The sequence below is a fragment of the Homo sapiens genome, chromosome 1 (genome assembly GCF_000001405.40).
Source record: "Homo sapiens chromosome 1, GRCh38.p14 Primary Assembly".
Taxonomy (NCBI): Eukaryota; Metazoa; Chordata; class Mammalia; order Primates; family Hominidae; genus Homo; species Homo sapiens.
This window is the reverse complement of record NC_000001.11, coordinates 169133244-169157123: the sequence shown is the minus strand read 5'-3', so window position 1 is coordinate 169157123 and position 23880 is coordinate 169133244. Positions and strand designations below refer to the sequence as shown.

At 38.7% G+C, this 23880-nt stretch overlaps 1 protein-coding gene across 3 annotated transcripts in view; it reads left to right on the top strand.

The window, feature by feature from the left end:
- Window positions 1–23880, top strand: part of NME7 (NME/NM23 family member 7) — a 235267-nt gene that overhangs the window by 210674 nt on the left and 713 nt on the right. The window lies entirely within an intron of this gene.

The window sequence follows — 23880 nt, the reverse complement described above, 5'->3', positions numbered from 1 at the left end:
CCCTCCACCTGCCAGTTGCCAGAAAAGTCCACTGCAGCATCCCAAAAATGTGAACAATTATTATGTATCAATTAAAAAGGCCACGTCCACCAGCATCTTCTTTCATTGCTGTTTATTCAAGTAAAACCTGAAATATGTGCATGTGGAAAGCGAATGGTTTGCATGGATTCTTTTCTTCCTTCTCAAACCTGATATTTCAGAAGTCTCTACATTCATCGTAAAAACATCATGATAATATAAGAGGCCTTAAGCTATCAAATTGTAATTCTTTATGGCCCAGTTAGTATTTCATCAGCATTGGTTGTTTTCTCAGATAAAAGAATCTTGGATAAGGAGCAATTTCACATTCCCTCCTATATCCCGTCATAGTGGGGCATAAGTTCATTGCTAGATTCAAAGGGAGTTACAGGTTCATAGGTCTTTCTGTTTCTCAAGTACAGTGCCAGCTCCACCTTTCTTCAGATAGGCTGCCTTCTGAATCTGAAAAGTAACAAGCTTAATGACTTAAGAACTGTATTTAATATAATTTATCCCACTTTATATAGGCACTTATAAAATCATTTGCCGAAGACTCTAGGATTATTTTAGATTAATTTATTTTGTATAAATTGGTTAATTAATAACTATGGAAAATCCATATAAAATAAATAGACACAATCATTGGACTAAAAGTGACCTTACAGGGGGCATTTAAGAATCTCCAGGCATTTTGTCTCAGCACTTTTTGCATCTTCTCTACCTATTCCCTGGGAAATGGTTCTCAAACAGTAGCACAATTCCTGGATGGCTTTTTAATTTTTTTTTTAATTTTTTTGAGACAGAGTCTCACTCTGTCACCCAGGCTGGAATGTAGTGGCATGATCACAGCTCACTGCAACCTCGACCTCCCAGGCTCAAGTGATCCCTCCTCAGCCTCCCTAGCAGCTAGGACCACAGGCATGCACCGTCATGCCCCACTAATTTTTTTTTGTAGAGACAGGGTCCCCCTGTGTTGCCCAGGCTGCTCTAGAACTCCTGGGCTCAAGCAATCGTCCCACCTTGGTCTCTCAAAGTGTTGGAAATTACAGGTGTGAGCCACCATGCCTGGCTGGGCTTTTTAAAAATACGGATTGCTGGGCTGTACCCCCCAGTGTCTAGTTCAGTAGACCTGAGATAGAGCCTGAGAATTTGCATTCTAACAAGTTCCCAGTTAGTGCTGATGCTATTGGTTTAGAGTACCACACTTGGAGAGCCACTGTTCTGAGCCAAAAAACACTGTGCACTCTCCATTAAGTCAAGTTGTTCTCTTGATTAATTTTTGTCAAGCTGTTGTCAGATTTGACATTTCACAGACCTGGAACATTTCAAAAAAAAAAAAAAAACTAAACAGTAATAAAACCCACTTCAGGGATAGACACAATGATAAAGTTTTTAAAATTTAACAAATGAAGACATTAGAAAAATTTGTTTCCCATCATCATCGTTTTGTTTTAAAAGGACATTTAATCACCAACAGCATTTTATCACAGAATAATGGACTGTCTCTTCAACTGAATAAATTCAGCTTTACCTGAAGCTCACTTTATTGCTATTGCATGCCAAAGGCATGATGGTCGAAGCAGTCCACTTCAGGCACAGGCAAAACAGCATTGCATCTTCTGTAGATCATTTTAAAACAATAATAGAATCCACTAATAGTTTGTCTGCTTTTTGTTATCACCATAAACAGGCAGTTCCAAACAACGTCAGTGAGAAAATACTGCCCCTTCCCCAGGGTGGACTACTCCTGCCAACCCTTGCTTCATCACTGCTTTGTTGCCCTCATTTTTCCCATTTTGCCAGAAAGCAGTGAAATGTCATCCTAGACCCTCACCATCTGGTGGTTGGGAGCAACTGGGCTAAGTTACACATGCTTATGGAGTCTTTGATTGATAATTTTATTCAAACTTGATATGGAAAACATATATCACATTTCATAGGTCAAAGAGGAATGTAAACTAGTTGAGTCCTGCGAGTGGTGATTTTATCTATGTTAAAGAAAATTGGGACAGGTGCTGTGGTAATCCCAGCACTTTGGGAGGCTGAGGCAGAAGGATTGCTTGAGCCAAGGAGTTCAAGACCAGCCTGGACAACACAGCAAGACCCTGTCTCTATCTTAAAAAAAAATTTTTTTAAATTATACAAATTTTAAAAACATATTTTAAAAATAAAGAAAAAATCCTTTATAATTATTTGGAGAAATAGAGTATTCTTTAACACTTATACATGGGCACAAATATTTTTAAAAATATTTATTTAACTAGGACTAATGGACAAAGGTAGAAAATTCTGATTTTTTTTTTTTTTTTAGACAGAGTCTTGCTCTGTCGCCCAGACTGGAGTGCACTGGCTTGATCTCAGCTCACTGCAACCTCCACTTCCCGGGTTCAAGCGACTCTTCTGCCTCAGCCTCCTGAGTAGCTGGGACTGCAGGTGCACGCCACCATGCCCATCTAATTTTCATGTTTTTAGTAGAGACGGTGTTTTACCATATTGGCCAGGCTGGTCTCGAACTCCTGATCTGCTCACCTTGGCCTCCCAAAGTGCTGGGATTACAGGTGTGAGCCACCGTGCTTGGCCTCTGATTTTCAAATTCAAAATAAAAAGCCAGAGATTTTTTTATAATATTGAGTTCTTCAATGTAACATGAGGAATTAAAAATTAATTTTATCTCCTTAATCCATGGCTTAATTTTAAGTTAACTACCACATGTTATTTTATTTAAATTTCATTCATTCATTGATATGAATCCGCAGTCATTTCACCAGGTATTGTTTTGAAGATACACATTTCTGCCCAGCACAGTGGCTCACACCTGTAATCCCAACACTTTCGGAGGCTGAGGTGAGAGAATCACTTGAGCCCAGGAGTTTGAGACCAGCCTGGGCAACATGGCAAGACCCAGTCTCTAAAGAAATACAAAAATTAGCCAGGTGTAGTGGCATGTACCTGTGGTCTCAGCTACTCCAAAGGCTGAGGCAGGAAGATTGCTTGAGCCTGGGAGGTCAAAGTTGCCATGAGCTGTGATCATGCCACTGTACTCCAGCTGGATGACAGAGTGAGATTCTGTTTCAAAAAATAAAATGTGATTATCCCTATTTGACTGGGCACAATAGCTCACACCTGTAATTCCAACACTTTGAAAGACCAAGGCAAGAAGATCACTTGAGCCCAGGAGTTCAAGACCAGTCGGGGCAACAGAGGGAGATGTCTCTACAAAAAATAAAAAAAAAAAAAAAATTAGCCGAGCATGGTGGCAGGTGTTTAAAGTCTCAGCTAGTCAGGAGGCTGAGGTGGTAGGATCTCTTGAGGCTGGGAGGTTCGAGATTGCAGTGAGCCATGATCACATCACTGTACTCCAGCTTGGGTGACAGAACGAAACTTTGTCTCAAAGAAAAAGAAAAGTAGAGGGTTTAGATGGAAAAGATAAAAAAAAATGTAAAATTAAATTGTAATATAAAATTAAACACCAGCATAAGAGAATGTTACCAGATAGTGTATGATGAAGTGTTAGAAACAGTAAGTATGAGAGTTCAATGGAGAGCAGTATGAGTGTGGCTGAAGGGGGTCAGGAAAATTTCATGAAATAAATTTCATGAATTTAATGAAATGGTATTTGAAGAATAAGGCAGATTTTTATACACACAGAAAAAGAACATGGCAGGCTGGTTTTAGGAGACATTGAGTTCCTCTGGTTGAAGTGGAGGGTTCCTTTGGTAGAGTATGGGAGATAAATTTGGAAATGTAAATTAGAGCTAGATTGTGGAGACTTTGGAAAGCTTTCTGATGGCAATAATGAACATTATGGTAACAGTGATAAAAATAATAACTTTAATTTACTAAGCAATATATACCAGGTACTATGCCAAATTGTTTACCTGCATTACCTAAAAACTCTGTTGAATAGTTTCTATTATCTCCATTTTATATGCTAAGAGAGTGAGGCTCCCATAGGTGAAATGACTTGGCCAGGATCACCCCACCAATGAGTGGCAGAGAGCTGAAATTTGAACCCAAGTTTGTCTAAGTCCAAAACCAGTGTTTCTATACAGCAAACTAGGTCAACGATGACAAAAGTGTTTCAATTCAAGTGCCAGTTTTTGATTTATTGATAAAACTACAACCAAATAGAAAAAAAAAATCACCATGATGGATTACTGATGTTTGCTGTAAATGCTGGATGGGAGTTTCTTGGTATGTATGACACACAGTGGCTACTTAGGCTCTAGAAAACTGGAAGCCATCAAAGGTTTTTGAACAGGGAAGTGACTCGATAAAGGTTCCAAAACTTTAACCAAGCAGCAGAGTTTAAGGTGAGTAGATAATAGGAGTAATGGACGCGTATACTCTGATCATCCAGTAACAAGTCTTAAGGACCTGGTAGTCTAAAATAGGACCATTCAGAAATTTTCTTCTCCTTCAAGTGATCTATTTCTACTATCAAGGTGTAATTCTTTGAAGAGTATCTGTCTCCTCCCCTGTCCTCTATGATCCATGAGAACAGTGACCTTGTGTGTTTTGTTCATTCCTCAATTCTCCAGTGGGTAGGCATTCAATATAGTTTTCTTAAATCCAGTAATAATAAAAGCAATGATGATCATAGAAAGCACTCACTTTGTGCCCAGACTGGGTTAAGTACTTTCAGTACAGCAAATGCATATGGAATCAGACTACCTGGGTTTGAATTCTAGCTCTGCCACTTACTAGCTGTCCAAGCAAGCAGGTTAAACTCTTGTGCCTGAATTGCCTCATCTTTATGGTGGGAATAATAATAGTACTTACCTCAGAGAGCAGCAGCAAGAAATAGATTAGGTGATATAGGTAAAACAATAAGAATAGGAAGTATTCAATTAAATATTGGTTATTATTATTATCTTTTTAAATTATTATCTTTACCATTCTATACTTAACTTGTCCATTAGAAAATAAATATAGTAGAGTCAAAGGAAAGGCTATATATAACTTCTATGGCAGGCCTGTTTCGTGTCAGGCCTGTTAGGCTCTTTTATAAATGATATCCCAGCTAAGTTAAAACTCTAATTTCACTGTCAGAACTTACTTAATTATCTTTTTACCAAATATAAAACCCACACAAATCTGGATTTTCTTTTCATTTCAACTGATTATGGGCTTTAACAAATCTGGTTTCAAATAATGTATTTTTAAAGATAAATTGGAAATTTATCATGGGAGGGCTCCCATGAGGATGCAAGGCAGGCTGAGGAGGCAGGCTTCAGATCAGGTCATGTAGGGGCAATGAACCCGAGGGAGGAGGCAGATGGACAGAGGACATAGACAGAGGGAGGGGGTCTGCAGAGGGAAAGAGATACTGACCGAGGTCTGGAATGACCATCTCTACCAAGAGGCCCTCTGCCTCCCACAGGGTGTCCAGACACTGGTGCACACATTCTTACCCAAGGGCCTGGGCTGGCACAGCCCTCAAGAAGGTGGCACCCACTCTGGCAGTCAGTGGGTCTGGCCTGGTGGAAGGATCATCACAGGCTTCAGGGGGCTGGACAGCCTGGGGGGGACTAGCGGAGGTCATCTCTTCCAGCCTCCTGCCCTCAACCAAGTCCAGCTCTGAGCCCTGGGTCACCGAGGGCCACCCTGGATTCATTGGAATCCCTCCACCTCCAGTAGGTCAAGTTCTGTAGAGGTCTGAGGATGGTGGTCAGCTGGGGAGTCAGGAGCGGGTGAAGAGGGTCACAGTTCTACCAAAGCCTTGTCCAGTCATCCTCCATCCCCTCGAGGCCTCTTCCCTGATCTCCCACTCCATCCTGCCACTTCACTCATTTCATCAGCTGCCCCTGAAGCACCCGGGACTCAGGACTGGTTTTATCTTCCAAGGCCTTGGTGAAGGGCTGGCCCAGGATCTACAGCCACACCTCATACAGCACCAGCTCTGCCTTCCCGCCTAGAGCAATGAGGGTGGAGATGGCATCAGCCTGGGCCCCCTCTCCTGGAAGCCCTGGGGTGGGACTCATACCCAAGCTCTAATGCTCCAATCCAGCAGTCAACCAATGTTAGTCTAAGGGCCCATCCCTTGCTGCCTGTTTTTGTGCGGCCCATGAGCTAAGAATGGCTTTCACATGTTTAAATGGTTGAAAAACATCAAAAGTAGAATAATATTTTGTGACACATGAAAAGTATGTGATATGCAAATTTCAATGTCCATAAATAAAGTTTTATAGGAACATAGCGGGGAAAAGGCTTTTATTCTTTTAGTGTAGCCTTTTATGTTTGAAGAGCAAATTATATTGCCTTGCAAGAAATTCAAAGGTCAGTACCCAGGTGCTAGCCTCTGTACCTATCTGAACTTGCTCCTCTTTTTTTTTTTTTTTTCCTTTTCCAGCCTCTCTTCTCATCATATAAACCCTCTTGTCTGTCACCTGGCAGTACAATTAAACTCATGGATGATTCCCTTTTGTAGCTGAAGTTTGAGAGGCAAAAGTTAGCTGGTTAATAGAAAGGAAGTGAGAATACATGTTTTTTCTAGACAACCAAAATATCCCTTTGCCTACTGTTTATTAAAAACAAATAAAATCAAAAGCTTGTTCCATCACCACTAAGCAATGCTTGTCTCTATTTTGTAGGCCTTTACTATGATGATCTTCAGTAATGTTAATATATTAAGTGAGTTTGGCCAATTCTTGATCTTTTATCATAATGGAGAAATTAAGGGGTTAGCAAGGGCCCTTGAAATCCAGAGAGATACTAGCAACTATTTGTCCATTAAATGCAATGTATTTACAATATACCTTACCTTTTTTATAACAAGTATACAGATAGACTAGCTTGCCCTTAGACTCTTAAATATATTTTTCTCAGCTGTCTTATAGAGCACAAAAATATTTGTTATGGGCTTAATATGCACACACACACATACAGACATACAGAGTAAATTAGAGACAATATATATACATATTGTAAACTAGAGACAGAGTCTCATTCTGTCACCCAGGCTAGAGTACAGTGGTGCAATCATAGCTCAATGCAGCCTTGAATTCCTGTGCTCAGGCAGTCCTCCACTGTCAGCCTCCAAGTAGCTGGGACTACAGGCATGCACCACCATGCCCAGCTAATAAAATAAGTATTTTATAATTGAATGGAAGTGATTAAGAATCATGAAGGGACCCAAAGTCATAAACTAGAAAGATGTTAAAAGACTGGCTCATATCAGAACTGTATAATCCGAATTCAATAAGTCAGTATCACAGTAATCTCCCCTTATCCACAGTTTTGCTTTCCATTGGTCCCAGTTACTCTCAATCAACTGTAGTTCAAAAATATTTAATGGAATATTCCAGAAGTAAGCAATTCGTAAGTTTTAAATTACACACCATTCTGAGTAGCATGATGCAATCTCATGCTGTTCTGCTTTGACCCTTCATCATCACAAGAAGGATGAATACAGTACTTAAGATGTTTTAAGTGAAAGACCACATTCACAACATAACTGTAATTACAGCATATTGTTATAACTGTTCTATTGTATTGTTACTGTTTTTGATCCCTTAACTGTGCATAATTTATAAATTCAACTTTATCATAGGTATGTTTGTATAAGAAAAAACATAGTATATGTAGGGTTTGGTACTATATGTGGTTTCAGGTATCCGCTGGGGGTTTGGGATGTATCCCCTAGGGATAAGGGGGAAATACTGTAATAACCAAATATAATCCTCTAGCAGTAGAGAGAAATGTGTAACTAAAATATTAACTTCTCTTAGTTAAATATTATTTATTTTATTTTTTTATTATTTTTGAGATGGAGTCTTACTCTGTCACCCAGGCTGGAGTGCAGTGGCAGGATCTTGGCTCACTGCAACCTCCGCCTCCCAGGTTCAAGCAAATCTCCTGCCTTGGCCTCCCGAGTAGCTGGGACTACAGGTATGCACCACCACACCCGGCTATTGTTTGTGTTTTTGGTAGAGACAGGATTTCACCATGTTAGCCAGGCTGGTCTCAAACTCCTGACCTCAGGTCATCCACCCACCTCGGCCTCCCAAAGTAGGATTACAGGCGTCAGCCACTGCGCCCTGCAAGTTAAATATTACTTAAAACTAACAAATAGATATGCTCACTAGTGCTCTTATTTCTAGTAATCTTGAAGTTGAAAGAACTTCCAGAAGAGCATTGGTATAGAATATATTGTGTGTATGGGCATCTTGTGAAAGAGAAAACTGAGAAAAGATGCCAAGGACAATACATGTATGGGTACATGGCTTTGATCCACATATCAAGTAAGGGAGACAAAGTGCCCTTTTTAACCTGTGACTTTTGTGTCTACTCACCTAAGACAGCTGGTATTGTGTTCACATTACCAACCACCAACACTGTCCAGTCCCTTCATTTTCCTGGCTCTGGAAGACTGAGGAGAAAGATGAAACCAATTCACTCATTGTGCTTTGCTCTCTGCAGTTTGACCCTGAACTCTTGACTTTGGTCTGCTCCCTGCCTCATTTTTCAGTCAGTGACTAAGCAGTTTTTGAGTTAATAAGTAACTCTTAGGTGACTGATTAAAAATTCTAGGAGGTGACTTAGAAAGGAGTCTAAAACATGGTTGCCCTAATAGAATTCATCCTGTTTTTCATTCATAAAATATTACAGCTACTCCCACTTTGGCTTTAGGGTGAAAATTGTTAAACCTACTACTGTTCTTTGTCCTTTAGACAGTTATGGGCTTTCCTGTTTTAAGAGGAAACAGAAGACTAGTCTAACAGGAAAATATTAGGCTCAATGTTTTCAAGAGCACATGTATTGAGAAGGTTTTGCAGGTTATGGAAAGCTTTTAAAGAAATGAGTCCGGGTGCAGTGGTTCACACCTGTAATCCTAGCACTTGGGGAGGCCAAGGCAGGTCAATCACTTGAGGTCAGGAGTTTGAGACCAGTCTGGCCAACGTGGCAAAATCTTGGCTCTACAAAAAATACAAAAATTAGCCAGGTGTGGTAATGTGCACCTGTAGTCCCAGTTACTCAGGAGGCTGAGGTAGGAGAATCGCTTAAACCCAGGAGGTGGAGGTTGCAGTGAGCAGAGATCAAAGCACTGCACTCCAGCCTGGGCAACAGAGCGAGACTCTGTCTCAAAAAAAAAATAAAATAAAAGAAACTTGAAAGAAATTTTCTTTCAAGAAATTGAAATTATTTCTTTCAAGAAATAATATTGTATGAGCAATTTTCTGTGAGATAATTGTGAAAGAAGTTATAACAATCGCTATATCCTTCTCACCTTTAATCTGAATGTTAATTTAGCCACAAAGATAGCAATAAGACAACATCTTGAAAGTATCTTATCCACAGCAAAGTCACACTTTCTTAAGCATAGATGAAATCCAAACTACTATAGTCGTTACTTTTAAATCTCATATTGGGCAAATGCTTACTTGATATAGTTACGAATTTGATACAGTCATGCTCTTGATGAAGTTTAAAAGATAGCTCTGCTATTAAATTTATTTGCATTAACTCTTTCTTATTGCTTATTGATTTTTTATTTTTATGTATATGGTAGGAATATTAACTAGCTTGTAGGGAGTCCTGGCCATATGCCAAGCATTGGTCTAAGTGTTTTATATGCATTAATTGACGACTTCATTTACAGATGAGTAACTGAAACATAGAAGAGTTAAGCAACTTCCCCAGGGCCACACAGCTAGAACATAACAGAGCACAGACTTGAACCCAGGCAATCTGGGTCCAGAATTTATACTCTCTAACCTCACTGCCTTTCTGTGTGATCTTAAATGTAACAAGTATTATTTCTTTAGAGTTCATGATAGGATGGGGAGTGAGACTAGAAAAACTAAGCATGAGGGAAGATATAATAGGAAATAGAGTCAGAATATTTGGCCTCCCTCAAAAGTAATTAGAATGATTAGATATTTACTTAGGTTTTATCCTTATTAACTGATATTTTTATTCACAAACTTGTCCAACTCAGTTTTAGATTAAAAATATAAAGTTATTTATTCCTTAAAAAATTCTTAACTATCAAGCTGCTGTATTGTCAGCAGCAAGAGGCCTTTGAGTTCTTGAGGGGGATGAGAGAAGGTCACGTGCCCCTGGAATTCCAAAGGATTATTCTGATCTCACTGTGATTTCACTGTGCTTACCCATGAGAGGGGCATAGTCAGTATTTGTTGAATGACCAAGTACATAATTCTCATCTCCCATTCTAATAATAATGTGTCATATGAGGAACAAAATCACAAGTACTTTCTCCTCTTTGTCCCCATTGTCCTTATACATACTTCTGTTAACATACTTGGTGTATTGTTAAATAATTATTTGTTTCTGTGTAGTTCACCCCTTAGTGTGAACTCCTTGAGGGCAGGGGCCATGTCTTACCTTTGTATCCCAAGAACCTAGCCTCTGTTTATCAGTAACTTAGTTGATTATTGACAAATGGCTGTGGAAGGAAGGGAAGGAGTAAGGCAGACCTAGAGCTGATATCCTTGTGTATTTATTTTACATTTATTAAAAGGTCATTGGGTTTAATCATTTGAGGCTTTTGAAATATATTCAAAGATGATATTTCTTGGATTTGATATGACTCCTCTGATTTAACCCCTGGGAAGAGGTCACTGGGATTTAAAGAATATGTATGTTATAGTCTGTCCCTTAGGTACACCACCTGATTTTATTGCTAAATTATGTCATACTCCAAAGGGCTTTGGCTGTACTTTTGGTGAGTTTATCTGTAATTATTGATAAATACATTCATTTTTGCTTAATTTATACAGAATGCCTGTGTGAATCACCCCAAATCACTGTAGCATTTAAATTTCCATCTCATGGTATAGCTATGGACTAGGAAGTCTGCCTTGGAAATTAGGGCTTATTCTTTGAAAAACCACAGATGTATTTATTATTTGAGACAAATGTGTAGTATGGGATCTTTTCTCCCTCCGATAATATTAAATGCTGTGTTCTCACTTGTAAGTGGGAGCCAAACAATGGTTACACATGGACATACATAGGGAAATAATAGACACTGGGGACTCTAAAAGCGGGGAGAGTGAGAAGAGGATGAAGATTGAAAAATTGCCTATTGAGTACAATCTTCACTATTATGGTTACAGGTATGCTAGAAGCCCAAACCTCACCATCACACAATATATCTATGTAACAGACCTACACATGTACCCTCTGAATCAATAAAAATAATATGAAATGCTGTATCTCTCCACTTTTTACTTTCTTCTTCAGGCCCACTATACTCTCATATTATACCACATTTAGCTCACATCTCTTGTGGTATGCACTGTGCACTCACAATTGTGCTGGATGCTGTTTTTGTTTCTAGGGGTTATAACAATTCGATTTTCCTCCATAATTCTATTTCTTGTTTTTAAATTCGGGTCAACATACATTGTGAATTCCATCTTTGTTGTAAGCACACCCTTATTTACTGCTTTTACTGACCTTGTCATCTTACAGAATAGTCTACTCTATCAGTGAGTGATATCTCCCATTCTGTCATTACCACTATGGTCTGAGCAAGAGTAGGGGCTGGAAAGAGGCTACAATGAGGCTATCTATGGATTTTCAGTGGGTAATTTTAAAAACTGTGCCTCCATGGAAGCTTCTGATAATGCTTCTGTCCTCACCTCCACCCCGCCTCCCACTGTGCTTCTATAACTGGCCTTATGACAACAAATGAATCTGGCATAAGAGAGAAGAGCACCAGAGTAAGTGAAACAGAATTGAGTGAATTAGCCGTCTCGTTGGATTCTACCCAATCACACTGTGAAAGTCCATTATGCATTATGCTTATATTCCATTGTGTAATGAATGGTAATTCTTCTAATGATAAATACTGGTCCCCTTTGGTACCAACCTTAGAGTTAGAAATAGCTTAATCTGTTGAGTAAATGAATAAAAACCGCAAGTTGAAAACAGCAAAAATAATTTCTTTGCTTGGAATATCAGTGTACATATCTTTCCGTGCAAAGTTCTCCACTTTTCTCATTACCCATTAACTTGTTTGTTACTCTACAATCTCCATCTGAGAGCTAAAATCTGCTGCTTACTATTCACAAGGCAGAGAGAATTATAAAACGTTATACAATAGTAGCACACAGCATAGCTTTGAATCTTTCCATAAAGTCATCATAATGGTACGTTTTCTGAGTATTGCCTTCAGTTTGTTTTAATAAAGAATTCATTGTTCTAGTGTTTACATGATGATTTTCTGTAACAGAAACTGATACTGACATTGATACCTTAGGCTAATGCAATTTTTAGTCATTTTACTGGGGTAAAAATAACTTTGTTGTATAATAAACAAATTGCTGAAGCAATCCTCCTGCTTCAGCTTCCAGTAATTGGGATGGCAGGTGCACGCCACAGTGCCTGGCTTCTTCTCACATTGATAATTTTGGTCCTTCTCAGGTTAACATACATTTATTGAAGGCCTGTTTGTGCCATTCACTGTTCTAGGCACTACGGCTAAATAAGACACACTCCTCATTCTCAAAGAATTTAACATTCTCCAGGAAAAATTGTTATCGAAATTGACATCAGAAAGTAAATGCTAGGAGATTGATCCTTCCTGGGTTTCATGAAAGCCCCTATCAGGAAGTAAATGCTAGGAGGTTGATCCTTATTGGGTTTCAGCACAAGAATCAGATGAGCCTCCTGTTAGATATGAAATCTGCTCCAAGTATTGGAGGATATGTTAAAAAAAACAAAACATAGAATAGTATTCCAGGCTGAAGAAATAGTGTGTATGTTGTATAATATATTCTCTTGTAATGGCCTTTGTGGATAATTACACATTGCAAGTATTCAATTTTATTTGCTAGTATTCCAGTTTGTCTTCTCATTTGAGGGATATTATGTATCCATTCTCTTAGCTCTTTACCTTGGTTTTTTATTTTTGTCTTTGTTTCCTGAGATGGAGTCTCACTATGTTGCCCAGGCTACAGTGTAGTAGCTACTCACAGGAGCAATCCCTAATTCCATGTAGGGAAACTACATGGAATTTGATATAGCATAGCTTAAAAAGACATTAGAGAATTGCAGATGAGCATGGAAAGGTAGCTAAGGCTCAAGTCATATAATTATTTTATGCCAAATTTAGGAGTTTGAAATTTATTCATAGGGTTAGTCCATGGACTGACTGGCTGAAATTGTTTGCAAAATGTTGTGGATGTATTCATTCTGGGGGGGAAATGGTCCGTAGCTTATTAGATCTCAAAGTTGTCCACAATAAAAAAAAATTGTTGAGAATATTTGCAGTGAAAAGTTTAAGTAAATGCCCATACTGTTCACTAATTAGAGTGAAGTAAGGCATAACCATATCCATGTTTCATATTACAAGAAATGTGATGTACAGAGCTGTCAGTGCAATGAATGGAAGTTGCCAGGAAGACTTCTGTAGCCAAAACTAAACCGTAAATTCATTCATTGAACATTTCACTGAACTTTTCCTATACACCAGAAATTGGTAAGCACTGAGGAGACAGTAATGAACAAGAGCTCCTATTCAGACACACATTCCATTCAGGGCTCATAGTCTAATGAGGAAGGCAGACATTAATCAGATAATCACAAAAGGAAATGGACAAGTATAAATTCTGATTATTGCTGTGTAGTGAAAGACAGGATGAGTTGTAATCGGGGAACCTGGTGTAGATGGGGGATTAAGAAAGGTTTCCTTTAGCAAATGGCATTTGAACTGAGGCCTGAAATGAGTGTCAGCTGAGGAAAAAGGTAGTTGACTCCAGGCCGAGAAAATAGCACTTGCTAAAGCCCTTATGCGGGGAATTGGTTGGTGTGTTTTAGAAAAGGAAAGAAGAAATATAAAATGCAAAAAAAAAAAAAAAAAAGCCTGAGGTGACACTGGAGAAATAGAGATTGGGCCATGCAGGGCTTTGTGGGCTATTTTAAGAATATGGATCTTTATCCTCAAAACATCAGGAGGCAACCCTTGAGGGGAATGGGCGTTGACATAATCAGGTTTATAGTTTTTAAGAGGTCTCTCCAGTTACCATGTGGAAAATGGACTGAAGGGGGTCAGGTTGGGATAGATTTGTTAAATAATAGTATAACAACTGAAAATACATTGATACCATGTACTTTAATTTATGGGTTGTTATAAATTCATAAAATGTGTCTAGGCATTAGTTTCTCCATGTGGAAAATGATGAGGCTGAACTTGTAATTCTCAAAGCTTGGACTCCCCTACAAATGAGCTGAATAATTGATCCTCTGAGACCTGGAGGCAGCAGCTCCAATCCTTAACCACTTCCTGTGCCGGCTCCAGGATGCCATGCGAGAATGAGCATTTTCTAGGTGCACCATGAGGTGACAAAGATTGAGAGGCCCTCCTCTAAACCCCTTTCCTGCACTAACATTCCATGATTCTAGGTTTTGAGGAAATCAAATTCTAATCCGACACCTTGGTTTTACCATTGAGGAATGTGTTGCCCAAAGAAGGAAAATGGCTCACCTAAAATTGCATGGCTTAGTGTATAGAACATTACTCTCCTAACTAGTAATCCTGGGTTTTTCTAGTTTGCCATACTGTCTCTGTATCCTTTGTAAGCAGTATAATGAATTATTATAATTATCAAATTGCAGGTGCTTCTTTTTCTTTCCTCTATTTATGAACAGAAGTACAGTTTATTCTTTTTTGATTACCAGTTAAGAATTTATTGCTGTAAGTCATCAAGCATCGTTTTACTAAAACTTGAAGACTAGAAATGGAGAAATTAATTCCTAGGAAAACAACACATCTTATCTTATTCTGGCTTAGCTGAAAATATTGCAAGACTAGCATTTCTATTTCAAAATCAGCCCAAAGGCTGTGAGCATACAGAAGTGATGAATAGAAAGATGTTAGCTGAGCTCTTAATGACTTTTACTTGATTTGAACTTGAGTTCAAAGGTAAATCAAAAGTTTAAAGTTGAACTTGAATCTTACTATGCCATATAGGCTTTCCTTAGCCTTCTGGAAAATCTAAAGTATAAGGGAGGTCCAGGAGTATAGTGATTCTGGGCACAGACTCTGGAGTCAGGTGGTCTGAGTTCAAATCCCCAGCTTCTCCTCCTACCAACTTCATGACTTAGGAAAAATTACCTTTCTCAGACTCATTTTATCTACTTGAAGAGTAGAAATAATGACATTTCACAGTAAAAATTAAATGAAGCAATATATGAAGTAATTTTCTCTTAAATCTTAAATTACCTCAGCATATGCTTTCACAATTTCTTTCCAATTTTAAGTGACAAAGTCCATCCCAGCTATTCACTTCATTATCTCATGAATTCTGATTATGTATTCTCTCAGCTTTTATCCAATCTAAGAGCTTTTTCACTTTTCTCATCTGTCCTTATAAAAAAAAAGGCATTCCATCTTCTAAAAAATTTTTATTTCTATTTTCTAACTCTATTATTTTTGTCTTGGAGCTTTTCTAACTGAAATGTGTATGAAGTATAGCAATAGGAACTTCCCAAGAAATAAAATATTCTGTGGTTTGTTTTTCTTGTAAAGAGTACTGTAATTCCTTGGGTTTAATTGACAACATCCTTTATGAGGACACTCAGCATATCAGCATTGATGGCCTCGTAGACAGCAGTCTTGGCCCAAGTATTCAGGGAATGACGAGGACATACTCCAAGATCCTTTTCCCGAATCACTGTTTATTGTTTATAAAACTCATCTTGTAAGCCTGCTTTATTTCCTTATCAATACCCAAGGTAATCCTGTTGAAGTTTACTCTGCTTTTCTGCCCATATTCCCCACTTCATCTTTTGAGGCCTACCTGTCTCCTTGGCACATTATCCATGTTAAGTGCCTCCAAGGTACTGTGGATACTAGTAAATGCCAAATTAAGTGAGGGGTTTTATTCTTTCCCCAGATCACATATAATGATATCAGATGGGCTTGGTTTGGGCTCTGATTTCGGAGGCACCTACTTTGACTAACTATCTAGGACAGTAGTTTTCTTTTTTTTTCTTCATCCAGAAACTTTATTGTAAATCATTTGTCAACAAGATCTGCATTTCTAATTTCAGTTTGTCATTCCTCTGAGGCACAGAGAAAGGAAAAGATGAGATTAGGGTTAATGTTTATTGAGCACTATGTATAAAGGATCTTATTTAGTCCTTATAAACAATACTAGGGCAGTGGCTTTCAACCCCAGTGGACATCAGAAGTGTCTGTGAAGCTCTTTGAAAATGTGGACGTCTAGGACCTACCCAAGACCTAATGAATCAGACTCTCCAGGGTGGGGGTGTAAGCATCTACTTTTTGGTTCTTTAAAGATCCATAGGGTGATTGTGATGTACAACCAAGTTGAAAATCACCAATCTTGAGAACTGGTCTTTATATCTACAATTTCTTTTATTTGAAATCTTTTTTTTTTTTTTTTAAGGATAGACTGTTCCCTGTCAAAATCTTTTCTTCTCTGGGAGCCACAAAATGAATTTCTAAGAGGAAGTGTCAAGGTCACCTGAGTTTTTCCCCTCTGCTTGCTTGGCATTCATAACTGAGAAAACCCATCCCTGAAGCTTTACTGTAGCTGATTTGTAGCAGAGCCCATCCTGGGCTACTAGTTTCAGAGTGGGAACATGGGGCCATATGTCCTTTTTAAAAAAGTATTATTTGTATAATGTGCTACAACTTTATAAATTCACCCAGAAACTTACATGCCCACTAAATCCAATGAGGTAGGTTTTATTATCTTCAATTTTTAGATTAGGAGACAGGCTCAGAGAGTCTAAATGATTTGCCTAAGAGCACTAGGAAATAGTGGCTAGAATAAAACTCAATTCTTCCAACTCCAAATCTAGTACTCTTTCTGTTCTTTCTACTGATTAATATTTTTATCATTCCATTTTGAAATAATTTCAGACTTATAGAAAAGTTTAAAAAAATACTTTCCACAAGCCCTTTACCTATATTTGCCAAATGTTAATATTTTACCATGTTAATCATCCTTTCTTCTGTCTTTCTGTACATATGAATTTAATTATTTATAATATTTAACAGTATGTTATAGATGTAATTCCCCTTTATCTCTCAATACTTCAGTGTATATTTCCTAAAAACACTGATATTATCTACAGTCACCACAGAAAGTGATTGCGAATCAAGAAGTTAACATTAATACGATACTATTATCAAGGTACAGACCTTCATTTTTTACCCACAAATGTCTTCTGTGGCAAAAGAAGAAAAATAGTTTCTGGTTCAGGATCCAGTCAGGGATCACATATTGCATTTGGTTCTCACGTCTGTTTACTATCTTAGTTTTCAAAGTTTTCTTAGTCTGCCTCTGCTGTTCATGACTTGAATAATTATGTATGCTATCATCTGATAAGCTGGAATTGACAGTTCTGGCTGTCAGCACTTGATGGAGTTATTCAGAGATACTTGGGTTCAGTGACATACAGCAGGATGGGCCATAACATTAGGAGAATATTTGGAAACCAATAATAGTGATATTTATTATGCAATATTTATGCTGGACACTATTTTAAATGTCTTCCATATAATTCCTCATTTAAACTTCACAACAAACCTACATAGTAGGTATTGTTACATTATAGATGTGGAATCTGAGGAACAAAGAAGTTAAGTAACTTGCTCAAGGTTACCTGGCCAGGAGATGGCAGGGCTAGGAGTCAAATTCCAACAGCCAGGCTACATCCCTAGTGTGAGCTCTGAACCAGCACAGGCTGAACCAGAGACATTTAACAAAGTGATATGTCTTTAGGCAAATTATTAGCTCAAAAAACTTGAGTCTCATGAACTGAAAATGGGACTAATAATACCAATGTCATAAAGGTGGTTGTAAGGATTACACACAATAATCTGTTAAAGCATTTGGTATGTAGCAAGAACTTCATTTTTTAAGAGTAAAATTTAAAATATAAATATGGAAAAATTGACCGATAAGCATATCTGAAGAAGATACTGTTATGACTAAGAAGATACTGTTATGACTAAGAAGTTACTGTTATGACTAAGTTCACACTGAGATGAGAAAACTCTCAGAGAATACCTTTTTAATCATTACAGGTAGGGAGGAGAAGGGAACAGAAGCAACAAACATCTGTTCATATTTTGAGAGACTGGGGAGATACCAGTTACAACCAAAACCATCTTCGAGGCAAAAGGGGCTAGATAATGATGAGTCATGAAACACAATTTTATGATGAATTTATGGAAAGTTGTAGCCTTTAGTTATATTAGCAAAGAAGGTAAATATTTTCCATAAAGAGAAAAGTCAGCACCACTCTACTCTGGGCTGAGATATAATTACCTTCCAGCTTTTAAAAGGGAATTTTCTCCTTAGTGGGTGGCAGTCAGAGGAATCAAGAGGTTTTTATCTTTTGAGTTTTTAATTTCATATATACATATCTATATATATTTTAGAGAGTGGGTCTTGCTCTGTCACCCAGGCTGGAGTGCACTGGCATGATCTTAGCTCATTACATCCTCGACTTCCCAGGCTCAAGTGATCCCCTCACCTCAGCCTCCCAAGCGGCTGGGACTACAGGTGTGCACCACCACACCCAGCTAATTTTTTTTGTTGTTAATTTTTTTGTAGAGACAGAGTCTTTCTATGTTGCCCAGGCTAGTTTCGAACTCCTGGGCTCAAGTGATCCTCCTGCCTTGGCCTCCCAAAATGCTGGGATTACAGGTGTGAGCCACTGCACCTGGCCTTGAGGTTTTTAAAAGAGAACTCTGAAGACATTGGGTTTCCAGAATTAGAAAAATGTATAGTCATTTTAATGTGACATTTTCATTTAGTCTTTTTTTTATTTTTATTTATTTATTTTTTTGAGGAGTCTCGCCCTGTCACCCAGGTTGGAGTGCAGTGGCACAATCTCAGCTCACTGCAACCTCCACCCCCGGGGTTCAAGCAATTCTCCTGCCTCAGCCTCCCTAGTAGCTGGGATTACAAGCATGCAGTACCACGCACAGCTAATTTTTGTATTTTTAGTAGAAACGAGGTTTCGCCATGTTGGCCAGGCTGGTCTCAAACTCCTGACCTCAGGTGATCCACCCGCCTAGGCCTCCCAAAGTGCTGGGATTACAGGCATGAGCCACTGCACCCGGCTCATTTAGTCTTAAAACATTTCAAATATGTCAACTAAACCTACGGAGAAGATAAGCATATCTGAAGAAGACACTGTTATGATTAAGTTCAACTTAATTTTTTAATTAGACCATAAATAGATTTGTGGGGGGTACATCTGCAGCCCAAGGGCTTTTGGGGTTCTATAGCTACAACAATAGGCAAGGATGGATTTTTCATCTCCTTTCTATCAAGGTTTGAATGTTTCCTCTGAGTCTTTCCACCCAGAGAACCCTAGACTTCTTTCAGTTACCACTCCTTTCCTCACTATTGACCACTTCTGAGCCCCATATTTTGGGAGCTGAAAAGTAAGTAGTGCCTTGGAGAGGGAAGACAAAAAGGGAAAGGGAGCCCAGCAAAGGTTCATTCAAGGCTCACATGTGCATCCCCTACTGGTAGCTGCCTCTTGCCATCCCCACAGCATAAGCCCTCCCCTCCTCACCCCTGCCCAAGGCTGCAGAGCGCCATCACAGGGCCTCTGTTCCATGCCCGCTGAGTCTGCCAGCTCACACCTTCCATAATCTGCCTCACCCTGCACCTTCCCCAACCCGCCCAACTCTCAACCATCGATCTGTTCATTGCTTATTTTAAAAGCAGCCTTTTCAACCACATTTTTCATTCAGTCATTAGGACAACCATGCTAAAGCAACCCTACAGTAGACGCCCTTGGCTTTAAGCAGAACTGGTGCAGAATAAAAATGTCAGGCCTTTTTTTCAAAATTCATTAAGAATTTCAAGACAGCAGCAGCAGAGCATTAAACCAAACACAAGGCTCTTCTAGGCATGTGGCCCCGTGCACAGACTGCAGGCCCATGCAGCCAGCCTTGGCTGTAAGGGGCCCAAGTGAGTTGAAAGTTGGTCATCTACTAAATACACTGATATATTTAAAACTCAGTATCATATTATTGGAACACTAACAAAATTGCACTTCAATCAAACTGACTAGATTTTATCCAAAAATCTAGTGTAGTGACACAGGCACACATATTTTAATTTGGTGCTGGAATTCCACAACTGTGCGATAGATTCTCTAAGTGTTCAAGCACATCTGTACTCTTATTTAAAAGAAAATATAACTCCATAGGCATTTCTGATACTCAATCAACATTAAAAACCATTGGAAAATAGATGCCTGCATTCCACCTCTAAAGTGTCTGATACACTAATGAAAGAATAACAAGCTTCACAAAGCTATTGGGAAGGAAATGAGATTTATATGTGAAATTAGACTATGCACTATAAAGTAGTAAATAAATGTAAGCTATTGTTCTTATTTAAATTTAATGGTGATAAAGACAGAACGAGCCTTCAACTTAATCTTATAGGTAGTCAAGTATCATTATCCGTTGGATATGTTGAATATGTTACATGAATGGCAGAAGAAGGAGGGGAAGGAAGTGGTATCGATGAGAATAGTTTAGACCATGTAAGACGTTTAGAAGTACAAAAGTAAAAATTTCATGAGGACCTAGTGTGTTTGGACACTCCCCTGTGACCCCCTACCTCTACCCCACCCCAACATTTCATTGTCAGTGCTGGGTACATAGCAGGTGGCTCAGGAGAAATTTGCAAATGAAAGAAAAGAAAGGCCTGCTCTAGGCAAAGGTTTCAAACGTTTATGGTAGGCATGGACTTCTCCATCTATTATGTTTCATTTTCTGCAGTATAACCTGAGTTGTATTATACTATTATACTATTCTCTTGCTGTCTAGAGGCTCCAAAGCAGACTCATCAGAACCTCCCCAAGGCCTAATCTTTACCTGCTGGTTATTTCAGAACCCCTGCTCCTTATCAAAAGGAAAGGATCCTATGTCCTATTCCTGCAGGATTGTTCCATACTCCTTGAAGCACTCCAAAAGACAGACCAAGTAATGACTATATCGGGCACTGGCTGTGCCCGATATATGTGGCTGGCTGTTTTAAATTAACCCGTGTCACCTCCTGCCTGGTCTGTATAGGGTCAACACTAAGGGGGAATGTATGTGTCTCCTTGGAAAAGATAGCCCTAGAGGCCGCCTATGATTTTATGAAATCCAAGTTTTGTAAAGGCTTTGTGATAAAGCTAGCTACAGATAGTATGCTTTACTACAATATGGGCATTCTCTTAGGGTCTAGGATGCCTTTGTGACTAAATGAAAGAGCTGAATTCTGTAGTCAATAAGAGTCAACACCTTAGTAAGATACTTAATCCCTCAGAAAGGACTGATGCTGAAAGTCCCTCAGAGAAAAATAGAGAATTAAAGCATGAACCAAGATACCCGCCTTGTTTCACCCCTTTGTTTCACATGACTAGGATATGGGTGCTCATTGGAACCATCGGTTGGAAGAATAACAGGCTTATCTATTTCTTGATCATCTTTCTCAGTGTAGAGCCCAGGGGACTACAGATAACATGTCTGGTTAACAGTAGCCCCCTCTTAAAGAAAAAAGGAGAAAGTCATGTTTTCTCAGTTGAATTTGAAACCAAGATCACTTTATTCACTCAATTAAAACTGCTATTGTCTGTTCCTTGGATAGTTTCCCTCTGTATTCATAAGGTCCCTTAGTCCTAGATTTTCAAGGTAATGTTATTTGGTTCTCCTCTGTGAGCCAAATATACACAGATATCAAAGTGTTACTAATCCTTTAAGAAGCCAGGAGTTTAAGCTATTACTGAGCTTTGAAAGGTTCTCATAACGGAACTTTTGTTTCTGATCACTGATAATGTTTTTAATTTGGAGTTGGAGCAGTTCCCTCTGGTATTAGGTGCAGCTGGAGCAGACAGGGCATGCTATTGTTCTAAAGTAGATAGGTTCTGGGTAATGCCGTTTTTGGTTGTTTTTTTTGTTTTTGTTTTTCAAGACAGGGTCTCACTCTGTTGCCCAGGCTTACCGAAGCCTTGAAGACTTGAACCTCCTGGACTCAAGCTGTCCTACCACCCCAGACGTCCAAGTAGCTGAGATCACAGGCGTGTACCACCATGCTCGGCTATTTTTTTTTTTTTTTTTTTTTTTTTTTGTAGAGACGGGGGGATCTCCTTATGTTGTCTAGGCTGATCTTGAACTCCTGGGCTCAAGTGATCCTCCAACCTCAGACTCTTAAAGTGTTAGGATACAGGCATGAGCCACTGTGCCTGGCCTAAAATGCTATACTGTCAAGCAGAGTCCTAAATTTTAGCCAACCATTTATCACTTCCATGCTTTTTATCATATTTACCACCTGAAATTTTACTATTTTTCTTTAAATCCATTCAGTGCTATACTTGAACAAATTTATTTTACTGCTATAAATGGAAAACTACTTGTTTTAAACTATTCTTAATTGAAGGTAATAAAATACAATGAAAACCAGTTTAAAAATCCTAGCTAGGTAACATCTTATGGCAAAGCTTCTGACACCAAGGCCTGTCCCTCTTTGTTTGCAAGGGAAATTAACCAGGGTTGAGGACATACTAACTCGGTATTTCAGTTTTCCTTCCGAGAATATGAAGGGTTGAAAAGAGAATCCTTTTTCTCTCTTCAGTATTTAAATGCTTTTCATTCCAAGTAGTCAGCCTATCTTTGAAAAACTCAATCCCTTTATATTGTGTAAGGAATTAAGTATTTGACAGGACTTGTGTGAAAACCCATTTCTTGAATGTAAGAACACCCCAAGGGAGATAGATGGCACTGTCCCTACACCCATGAAATATGTCATCTACTGAGGGTCAGAATAAACTGATTAAAAAGAAATAATAAATGTATTGAAGAGTCTGAGAAATATGCAAATGGTTAACACTAGAATATGAGCAGCAGAGGAAAAAAGATGGAGTTTTGTCTGTTTTGTTCACTGATAGATCTCTCACTAGCTGTTAGAAGAATGCTTGGCATATGGTAGGTATCTGTTGAGTCTAAGAACACAAACCACATTCCCCAGTCTCCTAGTGGTGATATAACACTAAAGATCAGGAGTGGGAAATAGGTTGGCACAATCTGGAGAAATTAAGAGAAGCAAGATTTGGAGAGAATCTTGGAGAAAGTTACAGACACACACAATGGCTTAGAACAGAAAGTACACAATACATACGAAAACAGGTTAAGTCTCACCAAGGTCGTGACCTTATAGCAGCCTTAAAAATGCAAAATACCCTCCAGTTTGAATGAATGCTCCCCTTTCCTCAGACCTAAAGCCCCATTCCCTTATTCACAAGCATCACAAATTTAAATATCACATACACCTTACAAAATGAGCTGATGTTTCTGCAAGACAAACTTCTATTTCCATAAATGTGGGTTACTTTGAGAAACTCAGTTTCATGTAGGTATGTTAGTTTGAGGATTTTTCTGTGTCATTTCAACTACTGAAGTCTCCTAAAGACTTCAACTATTAAAGTTAAGCAGTTGTGCCATTTTTCATAGTTCCCTTGCTATTTTTTTGTTAAGTGGAGTCATTGTTCCTCTGGTACTAATTTCGCATCACACAATTTGTTGCTCTAGAAATAGCAAAACGAGAAATAGATTACTGTGATTATAAATATGAAGCAGTAGGTGGAAACTGAAGCTGTTTCTGGCATTTCTCACCAAAACGGCCATGGCCTCCAGATCTGTCTCTCTGTAAGAGGGCAGCACCCCTGAAGACACAGTGCCACGTCAAGGATGTGTGTGAGCTCCTCTGCCTGCACAGGCTTTGCGAAAGGTTTCCGTTTCAGAAATACAATGCCCTGATTTTAGTGTGGGCATTTCCCATGTTAGTTAAGTGATACTAAATCTTTAATAATTATAGCTGGAAAATGTTTTTTGGAAAGCTTTTT